Below are 25,354 nucleotides of genomic sequence, written 5' to 3'. Positions count from 1 at the left end.
ATCCAGCAATCCCACTCCTGGGTATCTACCCAGAGGAAAAGAAGTCATTATACGAAAAAGATACTTGCACACATGTGTTTATAGCAGCACAATTCGCAATTGCAAAAATATGGAATCAGCCCAAACGCCCGTCAATCAGTGAGTGGATAAAGAAATTGTGGTATATATATATATATATATATATATATATATATATATATATATATATATATTTGGAATATATATATATGTATATATATATTTGGAATATATATATGTATATATATATTTGGAATATATATATATGTATATATATATTTGGAATATATATATCTGTATATATATATTTGGAATATATATATGTGTATATATATTTGGAATATATAGATGTGTATATATATTTGGAATATATAGATGTGTATATATATTTGGAATATATATATGTGTATATATATTTGAAATATATATATATGTATATATATATACACCATGGAATATTACTCGACCATAAAAATGAATGAAATAATGGCATTTGCAGCAACCTGGATTATATTGCAGACCATTATTCTAAGTGAAGTAACTCAGGAATTGAAAGCCAAACATCATGTGTCCTCATTCATAAGTGGGAGCTAAGCTATGAGGATGCAAAGGCAGAAGAATGATACAATGTACTTTGAGGACTCCGGGGAAAGTGTAGGAGGTGGGTAAGGGATAAAAGACTATATATTGGGTACAGTGTACACTGCTCAGGTGATGGGTGCACCAAAATCTCAGAAATCACCACTAAAAAACTTAGTCATGTAACCAAACACCACCTGTTCCCCCAAAACCGATTGAAAAATAAACAAACAGTTGGTTACAGAAGTGGTCCCAGGAGGCAGACTCCATTATGAGATCTGGGAAATTGATTACCCATTTGGCCAGTTGCAATAAGGACCCCCCACCCAAAGCGTGGCGGGTAGAGAACTGATACTCTGACACATTGTAGAGGTCAATTGTCAAACTGTTCAGCGACTGGAATGAGACAGCACTGGGAAACGATGTGCTGGCTCAGGTGTTTGAGAGGTATGATGGGCATCAATGTTAGAAGGGCTATGGAACTAGGGAAACCTGATTGACCTAGGGGGACTGGCTTCCCTGCAGAAGTGGCTGCAGTTCAAGCTGACACTAAACGGTGAGTTTGCATGTGAGGGGAGGGAAGGATGATCAGAAAAGAGCTTTCCAGTCAAAGGAAACAGCATATACAGAAGTTCTAATGCAGAAAAGTGCCTGGCAATTAGAGGAAGGGCAAAATGGCCAATGAATCTCTAGAGAGTGGAAGCATGGCTGTCAGCGGAGGCTGGGGAAATAGGCAGGGGACAACTCACAGCCATGGCAGGATTTGTCTTGTCATTTTAGGAGGAGTGATAAACCATTGAAGGATTTGAAGCAAGGAAGCTACAAGATAAGATTTAACTTTTAAGAATCTCTTTGGCTATTTGTGAACTGACTGGAGGGAATAAAAATTGAAATGAAGAAAGCAGCTGCTCAGGGCTGTTGCCGTTCTTATACTGGGATGTGACTGCTCTCACTAGAGCCTCATCTACTCATTGAGCTACTAAACCACCTTCTTGGTGATGGAAGGCCACATCCACCTCCTGACACCTACAGAAATGATCTGGGCAATTTTCCTTTAGTTTAATCTCTGTTAAACACTAGAATGTGGGCTCGGCAGTAATAGAGACTTTGTTTGTTGTATCACTGCTGTATCCCCAGCCCCTAAAACAGTGCTTGGGCCTTAGAAGATGGCACTCAATAAATGTCTGGTGAGTCATTGAATAAATACGTTTTATTTATTTATATGTATTTTTAATAATATATATATTGAGACAGGGTCTCACCCTGTGGCCCGGGCTGGAGTGCAGTGGTACAATCACGACTCCTTGCAGCCTCAAACTCCTGGACTCAATCAACCCTTCCACCTCAGCCTCCTGAGTAGCTGGGATCACAGGCATGTGCCACCACACCCAGCTAATTTTTGTATTTTTTGTAGAGATGAGTTATCACCATGTTGCCCCAAGCTGGTCTGAAACTCCTGGGATCAAGTAACCCTCCCACCTTTTCCTCACAAAGTGGGATTACAGGTATGAGCCACAGGGTCTGGCCTGAATAAATGAATTTTAAAGGAAATACTCCCAATCAGAGTGGAGCAAGTTTCTGAGGATTATTCATGCCTTGAAATCAATAAGTGTGAACAAGGCTCCAAGGGGAGGGAGCAGACCACAATTAAGCAATCCATAGCAACTCACCTATTTATTATATTTATATGGTGGATAAGTAATGGAGACAAACAGGTGTTGCGTGCAGGTTGGGAGATCTTAATGAGACTGGCTGAAGATAAACTTCCCAGGCGAGCTGTAACCTTGTGCTGCAAATAATTTCATTCAAAGTAAGAGCAGCTGGCATGTTTCGACACAAACTGGTCACCGACCCTTGTTTTTCAATTCCTATTTTTTTGTTTTGTTCTTTAATGGAAGAATTTTGGTGTTATTGTTGAATATCATCCAAACCAGCTGTGAAACCCAAATGATTTCCAGTCCTTGCCTGTAGGTCTGGACCTGAAAAAAAGCCTATCAGCTCTTGAGTGACAGGGAAATGTCCTGGCAGCTGTGTTCCTACTCCTGAGCGCCGTTTTAGGGCTGAGACTAAAGCTAAGAGCCGCACTTGAGACCACTCATCTCTTCAAACCTTTCTGTGCTGCTCAGAACCGAAAATCAATTTTATGTAGGAACAGTATGTGATTCCATATTGAGAAGGCCTGTACAGGTGAGTCTGTGCCCTCTGTCATGGCTGTAAACCAGGACATTGCATATTCATGCTTAAGGAGACCTGGCAGGACACCCAGACTGAGGAGCATGAGAGAACAGTGACACCCAGTGGCTAGCTGGCTGCATCTCCAATGTGCTGGGCACAGAGATGGCTGAGGGTGGAGCCCACTATGCTCCAGATCCCAACTTCTGCTTTTTGTCCTTTCAAGCTGGAGAACCCTGTGAAACTCCAGGAAAATTCTAATTGCAGACCAGGTTCTACCAATAATATTTATCCTTCCATATTCTCTGCTACACTTTTTACTTTCAGGATAAGCACCTATCTCTTGCTAGAGTTACTGTGTTTTAAATTGCATCATAAAATTTAATAAATGTTCATGTTCAACAGTTGATAAAATATAAAATTCCAAAATTCCTTTTTTTCTAGTTTTTCAGAATAAAGTTTGTTATTCAGTCAACAAATGTTTACTGTGTACCTACTAGGTGCCAAGCAGTTAATAAAACAGAAGTTCTTTTTTTTAATTATCATACTTTAAGTTCTGGGATACATGTGCAGACAGTGCAGATTTGTTCCATAGGTATACACATGCCGTGGTGGTTTGCTGCACCCATCAACCCCTCATCTACATTAGGTATTTCTCCTAATGTTATCCCTCCTCTAGCCCCCCAACCCCCAGCAGGTCCTGGTGTGTGATATTCCCCTCCCTGTGTCCATGTGTACTTATTGTTCAACTCCCAATTATGAGTGAGAACATGCAGCGTTTGGTTTTCTGTTCCTGTGTTAGTTTGCTAAGAATGATGGTTTCCAGCTTCATCCATGTCCCTGCAAAGGACATGAACTCATCCTTTTTTATGGCTGCGTAGTATTCCATGGTGTATATGTGCCACATTTTCTTTATCCAGTCTATCATTGATGGGCATGTGGGTTGGTTCCAAGTCTTTGCTATTGTGAACAGTACTGCAATAAACATACGTGTGCATGTGTCTTTATACTAGAATGATTTATAATCCTTTGGGTATATACCCAGTAATGGGATTGCTAGGTCAAATGGTATTTCTGGTTCTAGATCCTTGAGGAATCACCACACTGTCTTCCACAATGGTTGAACCAATTTACACTCCCACCAACAGGGTAAAAGCGTTCCTATTTCTCCACATCCTCTCCAGCATCTGTTGTTTCCTGACTTTTTAATAATTGCCATTATAACTGGCATGAGATGGTATCTCATTGTGATTTTGATTTGCATTTCTCTAATGACCAGTGATGATGAGGTTTTTTTCATGTTTGTTCAACATAAATGTTGAAGCCACATAAATGTCTTCTTTTGAGAAGTGCCTGTTCATATCCTTAGCCCACTTTTTGGTGGGGTTGTTTTTTTCTTGTAAATTTAAGTTCCTTGTAGATTCTGGATATTAGCCCTTTGTCAGATGAATAGATTGCAAAAATTTTCTCCCACTCTGTAGGTTGCCTGTCCACTCTGATGATACTTTCTTTTGTGGTGCAGAAGCTCTTTAGTTTAATTAGATCCCATTTGTCAATTTTGGCTTTTGTTGCCATTGCTTTTGGTGTTTTAGTCATGAAGTCTTTGTCCATGCCTATGTCCTGAATGGAATTAGCTCGGTTTTCTTCTAGGGTTTTTATGGCTTTAGGTCTTATGTTTAAGTCTTTAATCCATCTTGAGTTAATTTTTATATAAAGTGTAAGGAAGGAGTCCAGTTTCAGTTTTCTGCATATGGCTAGCCAGTTTTCCCAACACCATTTATTAAATAGGGAATCCTTTCCCCATTGCTTGTTTTTGTCAGGTTTGTCAAAGATCAGATGGTTGTAGATGTGTGACACTATTTCTGAGGCCTCTGTTCTGTTCCATTGGTCTATATATCTGTTTTGGTACCAGTACCATGCTGTTTTGGTTACTGTAGACTTGTAGTATAGTTTAAAGTCAGGTAGCGTGATGCCTCCAGCTTTGTTATTTTTGCTTAAGATTGTCTTGACTATAGGGGCTATTTTTTGGTTCCATATGAAACTTAAAGTAGTTTTTTCTAATTCTGTGAAGAAAGTCAATGGTAGCTTGATTGGGATAGCATTGAATCTATAAATTACTTTGGGTGGTATGGCCATTTTCACAATATTGATTCTTCCTATCCATGAGCATGGATTGTTTTTCCATTTGTTTGTGTCCTCTCTTATTTCCTTGAGCAGTGGTTTGTAGTTCTCCTTGAAGAGGTCCTTCATGTCCCTTGTAAGTTGATTCCTAGGTATTTTATTCTCTTTGTAGCAATTGTGAATGGGAGTTCACTGATGATTTGGCTCTCCATTTGTCTATTATTGGTGTATAGGAATGCCTGTGATTTTTGCACATTGATTTTGTATCCTAAGACTTTGCTGAAGTGGCTTATCACCTTAAGGAGAGTTTGGGCTGAGATGATGGGGTTTTCTAAATATACAGTCATGTCATCTGCAAACAGAGACAATTTGACTTCCTCTCTTCCTATTTGAATACCTGTTATTTCTTTCTCTTGCCTGATTGCCCTGGCCAGAACTTGCAATACTATGTTGAATAGGAGTGGTGAGGGAGGGCATCCTTGTCTTGTGCCAGTTTTCAAAGGGAATGCTTCCAGCTTTTGCCCATTCAGTATGATATTGGCTGCAGGTTTGTCATAAATAGCTCTTATTATTTTGAGATACGTTCCATCAATACCTAGTTTATTGAGAATGTTTAGTATGAAGGGGTGTTGAATTTTATCAAAGGCCTTTTCCGAATCTATTGAGATAATCATGTGGGTTTTTTGTCATTGTTTCTGTTTATGTGATGGATTATGTTTATTGATTTGTGTATGTTGAACCAGCCTTGCATCCCAGGGATGAAGCCGACTTGATCTTGGTGGAGAAGCTTTTTGATGTGCTGCTGGATTCGGTTTGCCAGTATTTTATTAAGGATTTTTGCATCAATGTTCATCAGGGATGTTGGCCTAAAATTTTCTTTTTTTGTTGTGTCTCTGCCAGGTTTTGGTATCAGGATGATGCTGGCCTTATAAAATGAGTTAGGGAGGATTCTCTCTTTTTTTATTATTTGGAATAGTTTCAGAAAGAATGGTACCAGCTCCTCTTTGTACCTCTGGTAGAATTTGGCTGCGAATCCATCTGGTCCTGGGCTTTTTTTGGTTGGTAGTCTATTAATTGCTGCCTCACTTTCAGAACTTGTTATTGATCTATTCAGGGATTCGACTTCTTCCTGGTTTAGTCTTGGGAGGCTGTATGTGTCCAGGAATTTATCCATTTCTTCTAGATTTTCTAGTTTATTTGTGTAGAGGTGTTTATAGTATTCTCTGATGGAAGTTTGTATTTCTGTGGGATCAGCAGTGATATCCCCGTTATCATTTTTTATTGTGTCTATTTGATTCTTCTCTCTTTTCTTCTTTATTAGTCTGGCTAGTGGGTCTATCTATTTTCTTAATCTTTTCAAAAAACCAGCTCCTGGATTCATTGATTTTTTGAAGGGTTTTTCATATCTCTATCTCCTTCAGTTCTGCTCTGATCTTAGTTATTTCTTGTCTTCTGCCAGCTTTTGAATGTGTTTGCTCTTGCTTCTGTAGTTCTTTTCATTGTTATGTTACAGTGTCAATTTTAGATCTTTCCCGCTTTCTCCTGTGGGCATTCAGTGCTATAAATTTCCCTCTAAACACTGCTTTAGCTGTGTCCCAGAGATTCTGGTAGGTTGTGTCTTTGTTCCCATTGGTTTCAAAGAACTTATTTATTTATTTCTGCCTTAATTTTATTATTTACCTAGTAGTCATTCAGGAGCAGGTTGTTCAGTTCCCATGTAGTTGTGCTGTTTTGAGTGAGTTTCTTAATCCTGAGTTCTAATTTGATTGCACTGTGGACTGAGAGATTCTGTTCTTTTGTATTTGCTAAGGAGTGTTTTACTTCCACTTATGTGGTTGATTTTAGAATAAGTGCAATGTGGTGCTGAGAAGAACATATATTCTGTTGATTTGGGGTAGAGAGTTCTGTAGATGTCTATTAGATCCACTTGGTCCAGAGCTGAGTTCAAGTCCTGAATATCCCTGTTAATTTTCAGTCTCATTGATCTGTCTAATATTGACAGTGGGGTGTTAAAGTCTCCCACTATTATTGTGTGGGAGTCTAAGTCTCTTTGTAAGTCTCGAAGAACTTGCTTTATGAATCTGGGTGCTACTGTGTTGGATGCATATATATTAAGAATAGTTAGCTCTTCTTGTTGCATTGATCCCTTTACAATTGTGTAATGCCCTTCTGTGTCATTTTTTATCTTTGTTGGTTTAAAGTCTGTTTTATCAGACACTAGGATTGCAACCCCTGCTTTTTTTGTTTTTGTTTTTGTTTTTGCTTTCCGTTTGCTTAGTAAATATTCCTCCATCCTTTATTTTGAGCCTATGTGTGTCTTTGCACATTTGATGAGTTTCCTGAATACAGCACACTGATGGGTCTTGACTCTTCATCCAATTTGCCAGTCTGTGTCTTTTAATTTGGGCATTTAGCCCATTTACATTTAAGGTTAATATTGTTATGTGTGAATTTGATCCTGTCATTATGATGCTAGCTGGTTATTTCCCCCATTAGGTGATGCAGTTTCTTCGTAGTGTCAATGGTCTTTACAATTTGATATGTTTTTGCAGTGGCTGGTACTGGTTTTTCCTTCCCATATTTAGTGCTTCCTTTGGGAACTCTCATAAGCCAGACCTGGTGGAGACAAAAATCTCTCAGCATTTGCTTGTCTGTAAAGGATTTTATTTATCCTTTGCTTATGAAGCTTAGTTTGGCTGGATATGAAATTTTGGATTGAAAATTCTTTTAAGAATATTGAATATTGGCCCCCACTGTCTTCTGGCTTGTAGGGTTTCTGCAGAGAGATCCGCTGTTAGTCTGATGGGCTTCCCTTTGTGGTAACCTGACCTTTCTCTCTGGCTGCCCTTAACACTTTTTCCTTCATTTCAACCTTGATGAATCTGAAGATTATGTGTCTTGGGGCTGCTCTTCTTGAGGAGTATCTTTGTGATGTTCTCTGTATGTCTTGAATTTGAATGTTGGACTGTCTTGCTAGGTTGGGGAAGTTCTCCCGGATAGTATCCTGAAGATTGTTTTCCAACTTGGTTCCATTCTCCTCGTCACTTTCAGGTACACCAATCAAACGTAGGTTTGGTCTTTTCACATAGTTCCATATTTCTTGGAAGCTTTATTCCTTCCTGTTCATTCTTTTTTCTCTAATCTTGTCTTCATGCTTTATTTCATTAAGTTGATCTTCAATCTCTGATATCCTTTCTTCCACTTGATCGATTTGGCTATTGATACTTGTGTACGCTTCACGAGGTTTTCATGCTGTGTTTTTCAGCTCCATCAGGTCATTTATGTTCTTCTCGAAACTGGTTATTCTAGTTTGTTATTCCTCTAACTTTTATTCAAGGTTCTTAGCTTCCTTGCATTGTGTTAGAACATGCTCCTTTAGCTCGGAGGAGTTTGTTATTACCCACCTTCTGAATCCTACTTCTGTCAATTCTTCAAACTCATTCTCCATCTAGTTTTGTTCCCTTGCTGACAAGGAGTTGTGATCCTTTGGAGGAGAAGAGGCATTCTGGTTTTTGGAATTTTCAGCCTTTTTGCACTGGCTTTTTCCTCATCTTCGTGGATTTATCTACCTTTGGTCTTTGATGTTGGTGACCTTCGGATGGGGTTTTCATGTGGACCTCCTTTTGTTGATGTTGATGCTATTCCTTTATGTTTATTAGTTTTCCTTCTAACAGTCAGGCCCTTCTGCTGCAGGTCTTCTGGAGTTCGTTGGAAGTCCACTCCAGACCCTCTTTGCCTGGCTATCACCAGTGGAGGCTGCAGAACAGCAAATATTGCTGTCTGTTTCTTCCTCTGGAAGCTTTGTCTCAGAGGGGCACCCACCAGATGCCAGCCAGAGCTCTCCTATATGAGGTGTCTGTTGACCCCTGCTGGGAGGTGTCTCCCAGTCAGGAGGCACAGGGGTCAGGGACCTACTTGAGGCAGTCTGTCCCTTAGCAGAGCTCAAGCACCATGCTGGGAGATCCACTGCTCTCTTCAGAGCTGGCAGGCAGGAACATTTAAATCTGCTGAAGCTGCACCCACAGCCACCCTTTCCCTCAGGTGCTCTGTCCCAGGAGACGGGAGTTTTATCTATAAGCCCTTGACTGTGGCTGCTGCCTTTCTTTCAGAGATGCCCTGCCCAGAGAGAAGGAATCTAAAGAGGCAGTCTGGCTACAAAGGCTTTGCCGAGCTGTGGTGGGCTCTGCCCAGTTCAAACTTCCTGGCAGCTTTGTTTACACTGTGAGGGGAAAACCACATACACAAGCCTCAGTAATGGCAGACACTCCTCCCCCGACCAAGCTGGAGCATCCCAGGTTGCCTTGAGACTGCTGTGGTGGCAGCAAGAATTTCAAGCCAGCGGATCTTAGCTTGCTGGGCTCCATGGGGATGGGATTCACTGAGCCAGACCACTTGGCTCCGTGGCTTAAGCCCCCTTTCCAGGGGAGTAAATGGTTCTGTCTCACTGGCGTTCCAGGTGCCACTGGGGTATGAGAAAAAATTCCTGCAGCTAGCTTGGTGTCTGCCCAAATGGCTGCGCAGTTTTGTGCTTGAAACCCAGGGCCCTAGTGGTATAGGCACTAAGGGAATCTCCTGGTCTGCAGGTTGTGAAGACCACGGGAAAAGTGTAGTATCTAGGCTAGATAGCACCATCCCTCATAGCACAGTTTCTCATGGCTTCCCTTGGCTAGGGGAGGTAGTTCCCCGACCCCTTGTGCTTCCCAGGTGAGGCGACGCCCCACCCTGTTTCAGCTCACCCTCCGTGAGCTGCACCCACTGTCTTAACCAGTCCCAATGAGATGAGCCATGTGCCTCAGTTGGAAATGCAGAAATCACCCGCCTTCTGCATTGATCTCACTGGGAGCTGCAGACCAGAGCTGTTCCTATTTGGCCATCTTACCAGCCACTAAAACTCTCTTGGAAGTTACATTCTTATTGGGGAAGACCAACAATAACATATGCAAATGTATATGCACATGCACACACGCATACACAGACATACCATAATGTCAGGTCAAGGTAAACGCTAAGAAGAAAAATGAAACTAATTAAAGCATAGAATTTGACAGAGGGATTGGTGTTATTTTGGAGGGTGGTCATACAAAGTCTCTCTGAAAACATTTGAGCAGAAACTGGAATTAAGTGAAAGATCAGATTATAATCATGTCAAGGAAGAACTTCCACACAAATAGAAAGGCAAATGATTAAGATAATTTTCATGCAGAACCAAGGTTCTAGAGAAAATTTTAAATTGAGATCATCAGTGTTAAAAGAAAAATAATTATACCAGAAAGCAATTTTAATTCTATTTTTAGTTAAAGAAGAAAAGACGCTCTGAGCCTAAGTTCAACTTTCATATTTTAGACAGAAGTCACAAAAGCTAATTACGGTCAATCTAGCTGGGCTCAGTGGCTCATGCCTGTAATCCCAACACTTTGGGAGGCTGAGGTGGGTAGATTGCTTGAGCTCAGGAGTTTGAGACCAGCCTGGGCAACACAATGAGACCTCTGTCTCTACAAAAAACTCCCCCCAAAAATTAGCCAGGCATGATGACATGTATCTGCAGTCCCAGCTACTTGGGAAGCTGAGGTAGGAGGATTGATCGCCTGAGTCTGGGAGGCAGAGGTTGCAGTGAGCCAAGATCGTGCCACTGCACTCCAGCCTAAGCAACAAAGTGAGACCATGTCTCAAAAAAAATGAAGTTAATTGTGGTCAATCTTTGAATTAGAAACATAGACTCAAAATAGTGTAGTAAAATAACAAAATGCCACTATTTATAAACAATTTATTTTCATGAAAAGGCAAAGAGACCATTAGTCCGGAGTGAGAATAGCCACTCAGGGCCCCACTCTAAGAACATTCAACAGGAACAATGCAACTACAAGCATCCAATTGGTGGTAAAGGCATTTTACACACATGCACACGTACACAGACACACACACACACTTAGAAAGTTTTACATTCGTTAAGGTGTTTGATAATAGAAAAGGGAAAGATATGCCTTTTTTCCTTGTATTTCCTCCTTATTGAAGTATAGCTTACATTCTTATTTCTGCTCATCAAGAAGCACCAAAGGACTAAAAGAAAAAAGAACTCTGGGGTTGCCCTGTCTTTCCTTTTCCATCTCTATTGCCATTTCTAGCACATGTGGCTGATTAACACAGGAAAGAAACAGGAGTAAGAAAGCCTATGATAACTGATATGCAATAATGTACACATCTCTTAAGAGTATGCTTGTTTAATTTCTGACAAGGCTATGATAACTGATATGCAATAATGTACACATTTCTTAAGAGTATGCTTGTTTAATTTCTAACATGTATATGTTTAACCACCACCCAGATCAAGACATAGAAAATCCATCCCCAGCTTCTCAGAAATCTCTTTCATTCCCCCATCTACCTAAATTTAACCACTATTCTGACTTCTATCAGGATACATTTATTTAGCCTGTATTTTGGACTTCTTACAAATGAAATCACAATAGCATATATTCTTTTTGTGTCTGAGTTCTTTTACTCAGCTGTCTTTCTGTGAAATTCATTCATCTTGCTCTATATAGCAGTAATCATTTATTTCCATTGCTGTTTAGTATTCCATTATATGAATATACTACAGTTTATCCTTTCGATGAACTTTTGGGTTATTTCTTGTTTGGGGTTATTATGGATCAATCTTGGGGTAATTAACATTTTTGTGCATGTCTTTTGGTGAAAATAACCATTTATTTTTGTTGAGTATATATCTAGGATTAAAATTACTGTTTCATAAACTGGGCCATTTACCTAATTTGCAAAGCTCAGTGCAAAATGAAAATGTAAGGTCACTCATTTAAAAAGTGGGGGGAAAAGTGTCATTAAAGATATGAAAACGTAAAGCTTTTTCCTTTTTTCCACTTTCTCTCTCTCTCTCAACTTGTCATGGTATTCTTTTATCTGCAATTTAATGTCATTCTAAGTAGAAAAAAATTAAAATGTTTAAACATTAGCTTGAATTTTACCATTCATTTTGTATTGTACCCAGTGGCAGTTTTAAATACAGATATGAGAGCATTTAACCTGTATGCAGAATCACTAAATTATGTAATTTGTATTCATTAGCTTGTACATGCATCAGCATTTCATTCTTGAAAATGCTACACAGAACTAAGTTAAATATTTTTCTTTCACTTCTTTAAACATGCACATTATGCTAATACTTTCTACATTCAGTTTATTGGTGAAAAAGAAAAACTAAAAGAAAAAAGAACTCTAGGTTGCCCTATCTTTCCTTTTCCATCTCTACTGCCATTTCTAGCCACGTGGCTAATACATGAAAGTAACGGGAGTAAGAAAGGCTATGACAGGATTCATTGGTTTTTTTGCGTGTGTGTTGTTTAAAATGGCATTGCCTTCTCTCTGCATTCAAAGCAAATTCTGGTTCAAATGGAAATGAGGCCTCTCCTGGCTTTCAGAGTCCCCCACTTACCATGTACTCCTTTGAGTCTTATTGAACTCCCAGATACTTGGCTCCAACTAAAATTCTAGGCTCATGGAGCATGGCGAATGCTAGACCTGAATGTAGCAAGGAACAGCAGCAGACACACAAATTGACCTTACCTCCTCTGGGCATGCTCCATGTCAGGCCTCTGAGCCCAAGCTAAGCCATCATATCCCCTGTGACCTGCACATACACATCCAGATGGCCAGCTCCTGCCTTAACTGATGACATTCCACCACGAAAGAAATGAAAATGGCCTGTTCCTGCCTTAACTGATAACATTATCTTGTGAAATTCCTTCTCCTGGCTCATCCTGGCTCAAAAGCTCCCTTACTGAGCACCTTGTACCCCCACTCCTGCCTGCCAGAGAACAACCCCCCTTTGACTGTAATTTTCCTTTACCTACCCAAATCTTATAAAACGGCCCCACCCCTATCTCCCTTTGCTGACTCTCTTTTAGGACTCAGCCCACCTGCACCCAGGTGATTAAAAGCTTTATTGCACCAAACACAAAGCCTGTTTGGTGGTCTCTTCACACGGACGCAAGTGAAATTTGGTGCCGTGATTCGGATCAGGGGACCTCCCTTGGGAAATCAATCCCCTGTCCTCCTGCTCTTTGTTCCATGAAAAAGATCCACCTACGACCTCGGGTCCTCAGACCCACCAGTCCAAGGAACATCTCACCAATTTTAAATCGGGTAAGCGGCCTCTTCTTACTCTCTTCTCCAACCTCTCTCACTATCCCTCAACCACTTTCTCCTTTCAATCTTGTCGCCACCCTTCAATCTCTCCCTTCTCTTAATTTCAATTCCTTTCATTTTCTGGTAGAGACAAAGGAGACACATTTTATCCATGGACCCAAAACTCTGGCGCCGGTCACGGACTCAGGAAGGCAGCCTTCCCTTGGTGTTTAATCATTGCAGGGACACCTCTCTGATTATTAAACCACGTTTCAGAGGTGTCTGACCATGCAGGGACGCCTGCCTTGGTCCTTCACCCTTAGCGGCAAGTCCCGCTTTTCTGGGGGAGGGGCAAGAACCCTGACCCCTTCTCTCCCTGTCTCTACTGCTTCTCTGCTTTTCTGGGGGGCAAGAACCCCCCAATCCCTTATTTCCGTGCCCCGACCTCTTATCTCTGCACCCTGATCCCTTATTTCTGTGCCCCCACCTCTTATCTCTGAGCCCCAACCCCTTATTTCTGTGCCCCAACCCCTTTTCTGCTTTTCTGGAAGGCAAGAACCCCCCAACCCCTTCTCTCCATGTCTCTAACCCTTCTCTGCTTTTCTGGAGAGCAAGAACCCCCCCCCCCAACCCCTTCTCTCCGTGTCTCTACCCCTTCTCTGCTTTTCTGGAGGGCAAGAACCCCCCCCAACCCCTTCCCTCCATGTCTCTACTCTCTCTTTTTTCTGGGCTTGCCTCCTTCACTATGGGCAACCTTCCACCCTCCATTCCTCCCTCTTCTCCCTTAGCCTGTGTTCTCAAGAACTTAAAACCTCTTCAACTCACACCTGACCTAAAACCTAAATGACTTATTTTCTTCTGCAATGCTGCTTGACCCCAATATAAACTCGACAGTGGTTCCAAACAGCCAGAAAATGGCACTTTTGATTTTTCCATCCTACAAGATCTAGATAATTCTTGTCGTAAAATGGGCATTCATAAAATGGGCAAACGGTCTGAGGTGCCTGATGTCCAAGCATTCTTTTACATATTGTTCCCTCCCTACTCTCTGTTCCCAATGTGACTGGTCCCAAATCTTCCTTCTTTCCCTCCTGTTTGTTCTCTCAGTCCCAACTCCAAGCATTGCTGAGTCTTTCTAATCTTCCTTTTCTACAGACCCATCTGACCTCTCCCCTCCTCCCCAGGCTGCTCCTCACAATTCTTCCTCAGCCTCTGCTCCCCATCCCTATAATCCTTTTATCACCTCCCCTCCTCACACCCGGTCCAGCTTACAGTTTTGTTCTGAGACTAGCCCTCCCCCACCTGCCCAGCAATTTCCTCTTAAAAAGGTGGCTGAAGCTAAAGGCATAGTCAAGGTTAATGCTCCTTTTTCTTTATCAGACCTCTCCCAAATCAGTTAGCGTTTAGGCTCTTTCATCAAATATGAAAAACCCAGCCCAGTTCACGGCTCATTTGGCAGCAACCCTGAGACGCTTTACAGTCCTGGACCCTAAAAGGTCAAAAGGCCGTCTTATTCTCAATATACATTTTATTACCCAATCTACTCCTGACATTAAATAAAACTCCAAAAATTAAATTCTGGCCCTCAAACCCCACAACAAGACTTAATCTCACCTTCAAGGTGTACAATAATAGAGTAGAGGCAGCCAAGTAGCAATGTATTTCTGAGTTGCAATTCCTTGCCTCCACTATGAGACAAACCCCAGCCACATCTCCAGCACACAAGAACTCCAAATGCCCGAACCGCAGCTGCCAGGGGTTCCTCCAGAATCTCCTCCCCCAGGAGCTTGCTACAAGTGCCAGAAATCTGGCCACTGGGCCAAGGAATGCCCACAGCCCAGGATTCCTCCTAAGCTGCATCCCATCTGTGCGGGACCCCACTGAAAATCAGACTGTTCAACTCACCTGGCAGCCACTCCCAGAGACCCTGGAACTCTGGCCCAAGGCTCTCTGACTGACTCCTTCCCAGATCTTCTCGGCTTAGCAGCTGAAGACTGACACTGCCCGATTGCCTTGGAAGCCTACAGAACCATCACAGATGCTCTGGGTAACACTCACAGTGGAGGGTAAGTCCGTCCCCTTCTTAATCAATACGGAGGCTACCCACTCCACATTGCCTTCTTTTCAAGGGCCTGTTTCCCTTACCTCTGTAACTGCTGTAGGTATTGATGGCCAGGCTTCTAAACCTCTTAAAACTCCCCAACTCTGGTGCCAACTTAGACAATACTTTTTTAAGCCCTCCTTTTTAGTTATCCCCACCTGCCCAGTTCCCTTATTAGGCTGAGACACTTTAACTAAATTATCTGCTTCCCTGACTATTCCTGGACTATAGCCACATCTCATTGCCGCCCTTCTTCCCAATCCAAAACCTCCTTTGCGTCCTCTTCTTGTATCCCCCCACCTTAACCCACAAGTGTGGGATACTTCTACTCCCTCCTTGGCTACCGATCATGCACCCCTTATCATCTCATTAAAACCTAATCACCCTTACTCCACTCAATGCCTATATCCCATCCCGCAGCACGCTTTAAAAAGATTAAAGCCTGTTATCACTCGCCTGCTACAGCATGGCCTTTTAAAGCCTATAAACTCTCCTTACAATTCCCCCATTTCACCTGTCCTAGAACCAGAGAAGCCTTACAGGTTAGTTCAGGATCTGAGCCTTATCAACCAAATTGTTTTGCCTATCCACCCCATGGTGCCAAACCCATATACTCTCCTATCCTCAATACCTCCCTCCACAACCTATTATTCTGTTCTGTTCTGGATCTCAAACATGCTTTCTTTACTATTCCTTTGCACCCTTCATCCCAGCCTCTCTTCGCTTTCACTTAGACTGACCCTGACACCCATCAGGCTCAGCAAATTACCTGGGCTGTACTGCCGCAAGACTTCACAGATAGCCCCCATTACTTCAGTCAAGCCCAAATTTCATCCTCATCTGTTACCTCTCTCGGCATAATTCTCATAAAACACATGTGCTCTCCCTGCTGATCGTGTCCAACTAATCTCCCAATCCTCAATCTCTTCTACAAAATAACAACTCCTTTCCTTCCTGGGCATGGTTAGATACTGTCGACTTTAGATATCTGGTTTTGCCGTCCTAACAAAACCATTATATAAACTCACAAAAGGAAACCTAGTTGACCCCATAGATCCTAAATCCTTTCCCCACTCCTCTTTCTGTTCCTTGAAGACAGCTTTAGAGACTGCCCCCACCCTCGCTCTCCCTGACTCACCCCAACCCTTTTCATTACCCATAGCCGAAGTGCAGGGCTGTGCAGTCAGAATTCTTACACAAGGACCACGACCACACCCTGTAGACTTTTTATCTAAACAACTTGACCTTACTGTTTTGCCCAGCCCTCAAGTCTGCATGTGGCAGCTGCCACTGCTCTAACACTTTTAGAGGCCCTTAAAATCACAAACTATCCTCAACTGACTCTCTACAGTTCTCATAACTTTCAAAATCTATTTACTTCCTCACACCTGACACATATACTGTCTGCTCCCAGGCTCCTTCAGCTGTACTCACTCTTTGTTGAGTCTCCCACAATTACCACTGTTCCTGGCCGACTTCAATCCGGCCTCCCACATTATTCCTGATACCACACCTGACCCCCATGACTGTATCTCTCTGATCCACCTGACATTCACTCCATTTCCCCATATTCTTTCATGTTCCTTACCCTGAACACACTTGGTTTATTGATGGCAGTTCCACCAGGCCTAATCGCCACTCACCAGCAAAGGCAGGCTATGCTATAGTATCTTCCACATCTATCATTGAGGCTACTGCTCTGTCTCCCTCCACTACCTCTCAGCAAGCCGAACTCATTGCCTTAAGTCAAGCCCTCACTCTTGCAAAAGGACTAAACGTCAATATTTATACTGACTCTAAATATGCCTTCCATATCCTGCACCACCATGCAAGAGGTTTCCTCACTACACCACGGTCCTCTATCATTAATGCCTCTTTAATAAAAATGCTTCTCAAAGCTGCTTTACTTCCAAAGGAAGCTAGGGTCATTCACTGCAAAGGCCATCAAAGGGCATCAGATCCCAGCACTCAGGACAATGCTTATGCTGATAAGATAGCTAAAAAAGCAGCTAGCATTCCAACTTATATCCCTCACTTTCAGTTTTTCTCCTTCATATCAGTCACTCTCACCTACTCCCCCGCTGAAACTTCCACCTATCAATCTCTTCCCACACAAGGCAAATGGTTCTTAGACCAAGAAAAATATCTCCTTCCAGCCTCACAGGCCCATTCTATTCTGTCATCATTTCATAACCTCTTCCATGTAAGTTACAAGCTGCTAGCCCATCTCTTGGAACCTCTCATTTCCTTTCCATCCTATAAGTACATCCTCAAGGAAATCACTTCTCAGTGTTCCATTTGCTATTCTACTACCCCTCAGGAATTGTTCAGGCCTCCTCCCTTTCCTACACATCAAGCTCGGGGATTTGCCCCTGCCCAGGACTGGCAAATTGACTTTACTCACATGCCCCGAGTCAGGAAACTAAAATACCTCTTAGTCTGGGTAGACGCTTTCACTGGATGGGTAGGCCTTTCCTACAGGGTCTGAGAAGGCCACCGCTGTCATTTCTTCCCTTCTCTCAGACATAATTCCTCGGTTTGGCCTTCCCACCTCTATACAGTCCGATAGCAGACCAGCCTTTATTAGTCAAATCAGCCAAGCAGTTTTTCAGGCTCTTGGTATTCAGTGAAACCTTTATATCCCTTATGGTCCTCGGTCTTCAGGAAAGTAGAACGGACTAATGGTCTTTTAAAAACACACCTCACCAAGCTCAGCCACCAACTTAGAAAGGACTGGACAATACTTTTACCACTTTCCCTTCTCAGAATTCAGGCCTGTCCTCAGAATGCTACAGGGTACAGCCCATTTGAGCTCCTGTATGGACGCTCCTTTTTATTAAGCCCCAGTCTCATTCCAGACACCAGACCAACTTGGACTGTGCCCCAGAAAACTTGTCATCCCTACTATCTTCTGTCTAGTCATACTCCTATTCACCGTTCTCAACTACTCATACATGCCCTGCTCTTGTTTACACTGCTGGTTTACACTGTTTCTTCAAGCCATCACAGCTGATATCTCCTGGTGCTATCCCCAAACAGCCACTCTTAACTTTTTTTTTTTTTTTTTTTTTTTTTTTTTTTTTTTTGAGACGGAGTCTCGCTCTGTCGCCCAGGCTGGACTGCGGACTGCAGTGGCGCAATCTCGGCTCACTGCAAGCTCCGCTTCCCGGGTTCACGCCATTCTGCCTCAGCCTCCCGAGTAGCTGGGACTACAGGCGCCCGCCACCGCGCCCAGCTAATTTTTTGTATTTTTAGTAGAGACGGGGTTTCACCTTGTTAGCCAGGATGGTCTCGATCTCCTGACCTCATGATCCACCCGCCTCGGCCTCCCAAAGTGCTGGGATTACAGGCGTAAGCCACCACGCCCGGCCAACTCTTAAAGTAAATAAATAATCTTTGCTGGCAGGACTATGCTGAATCTCCTTAAGCACTCTCTAATTAGATATCCTGGGTCCTCCCAATTCTCAGACCTTTAATACCTGTTTTTCTCCTCTTATTCCATTTAGTTTTTCAATTCACACAAAACCGTATCCAGGCCATCACCAATAATTCTAAATGACAAATGTTTCTTCTAACAGTCCCACAATATCACCTCTTACCACAAAATCTTCCTTCAGCTTAATCTCTCCCACTCTAGGTTCCCACACCACCCCAATCCCGTTTGAAGCAGCCTTGAGAAACATTGCCCATTCTCTCTCCATACCATCCCCCCAAATTTTCGCCGTCTCAACACTTTACCACTATTTCATTTTATTTTTCTTATTAATATAAGAAGACAGGAATGTCAGGCCTCTGAGCCCAAGCTAAGCCATCATATCCCCTGCGACCTGCACGTACACATCCAGATGGCCAGCTCCTGCCTTAACTGATGACATTCCACCACAAAAGAAATGAAAATGGCCTGTTCCTGCCTTAACTGATTACATTATCTTGTGAAATTCCTTCTCCTGGCTCATCCCAGCTCAAAAGTTCCCCTACTGAGCACCTTGTGACCCCCACTCCTGCCTGCCAGAGAACAACCCCCCTTTGACTGTAATTTTCCTTTACCTACCCAAATCTTATAAAACAGCCCCACCCTTATCTCCCTTCGCTGACTCTCTTTTCGGACTCAGCCCGCCTGTACCCAGGTGATTAAAAGCTTTATTGCTCACAAAAAGCCTGTTTGGTGGTCTTTTCACATTGGTGGTCTCTTCACACGGATGCAAGTGAAACTCCACATTCTCATAATATTACAAAAACAAGTTTAAAAATAAAATTATTAAGAGTTTCAAGACATGGATAGGTAAGCATTAAACCACAAACAAAGCTCTTCGGAGTTTGGGACCCTGAGCGACTGTACAGATTGCTTGCCCATTATGCTGGCTCCATCTGGAAAATCATTTGTTTTCTGATTTAACCAGTTTAACCAATTTAACACCAGCAATGTAAGAATGTTCTAGATGTTCCAATGTCTCACCAGCACTTGGTATTGTTTAACCATCAAAACGGGAGTGTATTAGTATCTCCTTGTGGTTTTAACTTACATTTCCCTGATGACCAGTGATGTAGAGAGGCCTGTTTTCTATTTTGATATCTTCTTTTGTAAAGTATCTGTTCAAAGTTTTGCCCATTTTTATAGTGGATTGGTGTATCTTTTTCTTGCTGATTTGTAAGAGGTATATTATCTGCTTTCTTTTGACATACATATGTATTGCAAGTATCTTCTGACCTCTACTCTTTCACTCTCTTAATGGTGTGTTTTGGTAATCAACAGTTGTTAATTCTAATGAAATCTAATTTACTAATCTGTAGCTTTATAATAAATTTTGATATCTTGATGTAAGTTGCCCAATCTTATTTTTTCTTTTTTTTTTTTCTTTTTTTTTTTTTGAGACAGGGTCTTGCTGTGTCACCCAGGCTGGAGTGCAGTGGCACGATCTTGGTTCACTGCAACCTCTGACTCCTGGGCTCAGGTGATTCTCCCACCTCAGCCTCCTGAGTAGCTGAGATTACAGGCACACGCCACCATGCCCGGGTAATTTTTATGTTTTTAGTAGAGACAGGTTTTTGCCGTGTTGCCCAGGCTGGTCCAAACTTACTTTTCTTCTTCAAGATTATCTTGGTTCTTCTAGGCCCTATTTTAAAATTAAAAGCCCCCAAATAACCCGTGTGCTAACCTAGCATTTTCAAAACTCTTCAGGCCTTAATTCCTTAAATTACCCAGAAAAGAGAACTATGCTACATCTGAGGTGAAACCAGACTACCTCTGGATTTGAACTAAAGCAAACTGTTAATATTGTGCTTTGTTTTTCCATACCACAAAAGAGGAATCTTTAGTTTCTTTTCACATACTCTAGCTAATTAGCATCCCTGGCAGGTACAACCACCAGCTGAATTATTATCAACAGTTGTTGCATTGAGAATTTTTTCAGTGATCGTGAATGCCAAGGTCATTCAACACTTGCAAGGATTTTCATCTTCTTTATGACCATCATTTTTTATGGTACTGACTGAAGTAACTTCTGCAACTATTTATAAACCCTCCTAGAAGCCATTGTTTCTGTTGTCAGCAGTAATGTTTCCATAGTAGTTCTCAACCTGAAAATAGAAAAGAAATGATGAAACAACATTACAAATCCTTGAGTTAAAAAAACTTCTTTGAGATTAAGTGAAAATTACCTAATATCCAGAGTATATGTATATATAAAGCGTAGTGTTCTGCATAATATATGTTATATATGATGCATATATATTCTTCCAGTTTGCAGTTTGTCTCTTCTCTCTTTTAGTGTCTTTTCATGGCAGAAATTCTTTATGTTAATGTAATCAGACTGTCAATCTTCTGATTTATGGCTAGACTTTTTATGTCTAAGAAACACTCTCTGACCCCAGGGTCATATAGATGTTCTACTATCTGGTCTTTGAAAATCTTCCTTCGCATTTAGCTCTTATATTGGCTTGTTAGGGCCGTAATAACAAAGTACCACAAACTGAGTGGCTTAAATAACAGAAAGTGTCTGACGTTTTGAGGGGCTACAAGTCTGAAATCAAGGTTTTGGCAGAATTGGTTCCTTCTGAGGCCTATGAGAAAAAATCTGTTCCGTGTCTCTCTCTCTCTCCTGGCTTCTGGTGGTTTATCAGGAGTCTCTGGTGTTCCTTAGCTTACAGACACATCGCCCCATCTCTGCTTTTATGTTCATGTGACATTGTCCCTATGCATGTGTCTGTATCCAGATTTCCCCTGATTATAAGGACACAGTCATTTGGATGAAGGGCCCACCCTACTCCAGTATGACCTCATCCTAACTTCACTGATTACATCTGCAATAACCTTATTTCTGAATAAGGTCATATTCTGAGGTACTGGGGGTTACGACTTCAACATTTGAATTTGGGGGGACATCATTCAACCCACAACAGCTCTTTAATTTACTTAAATTATTTTGAAGGTGATGTAAAATAAAGTACATACCCAGTTTTCCCAGAACCACTCACTGAAAATCCTGTCCTTTCCCCACTAATCTGAAATGTCCCTTTCACTTATCAAATGTCCCTAAATTTGGGACTCTATATACTGTTTCATAGATCTTTTTGTCTACCACAATGTCTGAAGGTAATTTTATAAGTCTTGTTATGTGTAAGGGAAACTCTCCCTCTCTAAACTTTTTCAAAAACGCCTTGATTATTTTTAGACCTTTGCAATTCCACTCAAATTTTATAATCACTTTGTCAAGTTTCATAAAAATCTGTTACAATGTTGTTGGAATCGTATTACATCTGTAACCTAATTTTGAGAGATATTGAGTCCTCAGTCCATAACCACAATCCATATCCCTCCATTTAAAAAGGCCTTCTTCAAAGTCACTCAATGAAAGTTCATACATTTTCCTATAAAGATCTTGTATGTCTTAGATATTTTTCACGTTATTACAAAATAGTACTTTTATTTCATTTTAACTATGTATTATTGGCGTGCAATTGCTTTGAGGACATTGAATGCATGAATAGAATCCTATAAACTCTCACATTCATATTTGTAAATTACCCAGAGATACTTTTCCACTGTCTGTGCATATAATCATATTATCTATGAAAGATAACAATTTTATCATCATTTCTAATTCTTATGACTTTCTTTCTTTTTCTTCCCTGCCATAATGGCTGGGACATCCAGCATAATATTGAATTCAGAAGGAATGACAGGAGACACACTTGGTTTATTCCTGACCTTAAGGAGATACTTTCAGTATGTCATCATTAAGTATATGCTCATGAAGCATTAAGATCTTCATTATTAGATGAAGGAAGTTGACTTCTATTCAGAAGTTGCCAGATTTTTTTTTTGTTTTGTCCTATTTAAATAGACATCTGATTTTTCTCCTTTATTTGTATTTGTAGTGAATTACAACTACTGATTTTTCTAATGTTAAAACAACTTTACATTTGTTGAATAAACGCTGTTTTGTTATGATGGATTCGCATCCATTTTCTCAGTGTAATTTTTTGGCAATGCTTTATGGAGCTGTAATTCACATATCATGCAATGTATTCATGTGAAGTGTGTAACTCAGTGGTTTTTAGCATGTTTGCAAAATTGAGCTACCATCATCACAATCAATTTGGGAATATTTTCATTACCCCAGAAAAAAAACTCTACTGTTTAGCCGTCACCCCCAAACCACTCTCAACCACCACCTGCCCCAGCGCCTGAAAGCAACTAATCTATTGTCTGTCTCTATAAAATTGCCTATTATGGACATTCCATATAAATAGAATTTATTTCATATAAATAGAATGTGTGGCCTTTTGTGACTGGCCTCTTTCACTTAGCATATGTTTTCAGGGCTAATCCATCCATGTATCCATACTCCATTCTTTTTGACAAATAATGTTTTATTGCATGGATACGCCTCATTTTATTTATCCATTCATCAGTTGATGGACATTTGGGTTGTTTCCAATTTGGGGCTATTATAAATAACATTGCTATGAATATTTGTGTACAAGTGTTTGTGTGGACATGTATTTTCTTTTCTCTTTGTTAGATACCTAGGATTGGAAGTGCTGGGTCATATCATAGCTCTTTGTTTAACCATTTTAGTAACTGACACACTGTTTTCCAAAGTGGCTGACTCATTTTATAGGCTCACCAGCAGTGTATGAAGGCTTTGATTTCTCTACATCCTTGACAATATTGTTGTCTTTGTTATTATAATATGGCACTTTTACCCTCATGGGTATGAAGTGTGGGTTTCACTGTGGTTTTAAACTGCATTTTCCTGATGAGTAATGATGTCAAGCTTCTTCTCCTGTGCTTATTAGCCATTTGTAGATCTTCTTTGGAGAAATGTCTTGTCAAGCCCTGTGCCCATTTTTTACTTGAGTTATTTGTCATTTCATTATCAAGCTATAAGAGTTATTTATATATTTTAGAATCAAGTCTCATTAGACATACGATTTCCAAATATTTTCTGTCATTCATTTGGTGTCTTTTCACTGTTTTGGTGGTGTTCTTTGAAGTGCAATAATTTTTAATTTTGATAAGTACGATTTACCTATGTTTTAAATTTTGATAAGTACAATTTACCTAGTTCTCTTTAATTGCTTGTGATTTTTCTGTCATATTTAAGAAACCATTTTCCTACTCAAGGTCATGAAGTTTATCTTATATTTTCTTCTAGGGGTTTTATAACTTCAGCTCTTACACTAGGTCTTTGATCTATTTTGAGTTAATTTTTGCATATAGTTTATGAGACAAAGTTCAAAGAATTTTACTCTTTGGCCATGGATATACAGTGTTCTGCATCATTTGTTGAAAAGACTACCCTTTTTCCATTGAATTGTGTTGGTGCCCTTGTCAAAAGTCAATTGACCATAAATTATTATTCTTTTGAAACTCTCATTATATGTCATTGATGTATATGTCTGTCCTTATGTCACTGCAACATTAGCTTGGTAGTAAGTTTTGAATCAGGAAACTTGAGTCCTCCAACTTTGCTCTTTAAGATTATTTTGACTATTCTAGCTCCCTTAAATTTCTATATGAACTTTAAGATTAACTTGTCAATATCTGCAAAGAAACCAGCTGGTATTTTGTTAATGATTGCATTGAATCTGTAGATCAATTTGGGGAGTATTACCATATTATCAATATTAAATCTTCCAACTTATAAGCATTGAATTCTTTCCATTTATTTAGATCTTCTTTAATTTCCTTCAGCAATGGTTTTTAGTTTTTGTAGTATAAGTTTGTGCTTCTTTTACTAAATTTATTCCTCAGCATTTTATAGTTTTTGATACTATATTTTGAGTGGAATTGCATTCATTTTCTCATTGTTTGTTGCAACCATGTAAAAGAACAATTGGTTTTTGTATACTGATCTTGTATCTTTCAACTTTGCTGAACTCATTCATTAGTTCTAATAGTTTCTTAATGGGTCCCTCCAGATTTTCCATATACATGATCTACATCTAAGAGTATGTCATCTGTGAATAGAGATAGTTTTACTTCTTCCTTTTCATGCCTTTTATTTATTTTTCCTGCTGAATTGCCCTGTCTGAAACCTCCAGTACAATACTAAACAGAAGGGTTGAGTGTGGACATCTCATCTTATCTTCATTTTATAGGGAAAGCATTCAGTCTTTCACTACTAATTGTGATCTTAGCTGTTTCTTCACACATGCCATTTATCAGGTTGAAGAATCCATTTTATTTTTAGTTTCTTGAGTATTATGAAGGGGTGCTAGACTTTTTCAAATGCTTTTTCTAAATCTATGGAGACAATCATGTCTGTGGTTTTTGTCCTTTGTTCTGTTGATATGGTATATTATATTAATTGATTTTGGGATATTAAACTAACTTTGCATTGCTCAGCTAAATCCCACTTAATCATAATATATAATCTTTTCTATATGTTGGTGGATTCAGTTTGCTAGTATTTTGTTGAGGATGTTTGTGTCTATATCCGTAAGGAATATTGATGTGTAGTTTCATTTTATTATTATATCTGTGTCTGGTTTTGGTATTAGAGTAACACTGGCCACTTAGAATGAGTTAAGAAGTGTTCTCTTCATTTTTCCAAGTGTCTATGAGAGACCGATAGTCATTCCTCTTTAAATGTTTGGTAGAATTCACCAGTGAAGCCATCTGGGCCCAGGACATTTTTAAGATGCCTTTCCACGTACATTTTATGAATAAGTTCGTCTATGTCTAAAAGATAATCTTGCTAGGATTGTGATAGGAAT

General features: G+C 40.5%; 2 annotated features.

Annotated features, from left to right (window-relative positions):
• Positions 2,754 to 2,963: an enhancer, noted in NCBI's record as "active region_25128". NCBI's record gives its function as "activates an Ori minimal core promoter by ATAC-STARR-seq in GM12878 lymphoblastoid cells {active_cell/tissue: GM12878}" and the evidence as "EXISTENCE:reporter gene assay evidence [ECO:0000049][PMID:35858748]".
• Positions 18,289 to 18,427: a silencer, noted in NCBI's record as "fragment chr6:137382319-137382457 (GRCh37/hg19 assembly coordinates)". NCBI's record gives its function as "represses an EF-1alpha promoter that drives an FKBP-Casp9 reporter gene in an ReSE screen in K562 erythroleukemia cells {active_cell/tissue: K562}" and the evidence as "EXISTENCE:reporter gene assay evidence [ECO:0000049][PMID:32094911]".

The sequence above is a fragment of the Homo sapiens genome, chromosome 6, assembly GCF_000001405.40.
Source record: "Homo sapiens chromosome 6, GRCh38.p14 Primary Assembly".
NCBI lineage: Eukaryota > Metazoa > Chordata > Mammalia > Primates > Hominidae > Homo > Homo sapiens.
This window is presented reverse-complemented; position numbering and strand designations above follow the sequence as displayed.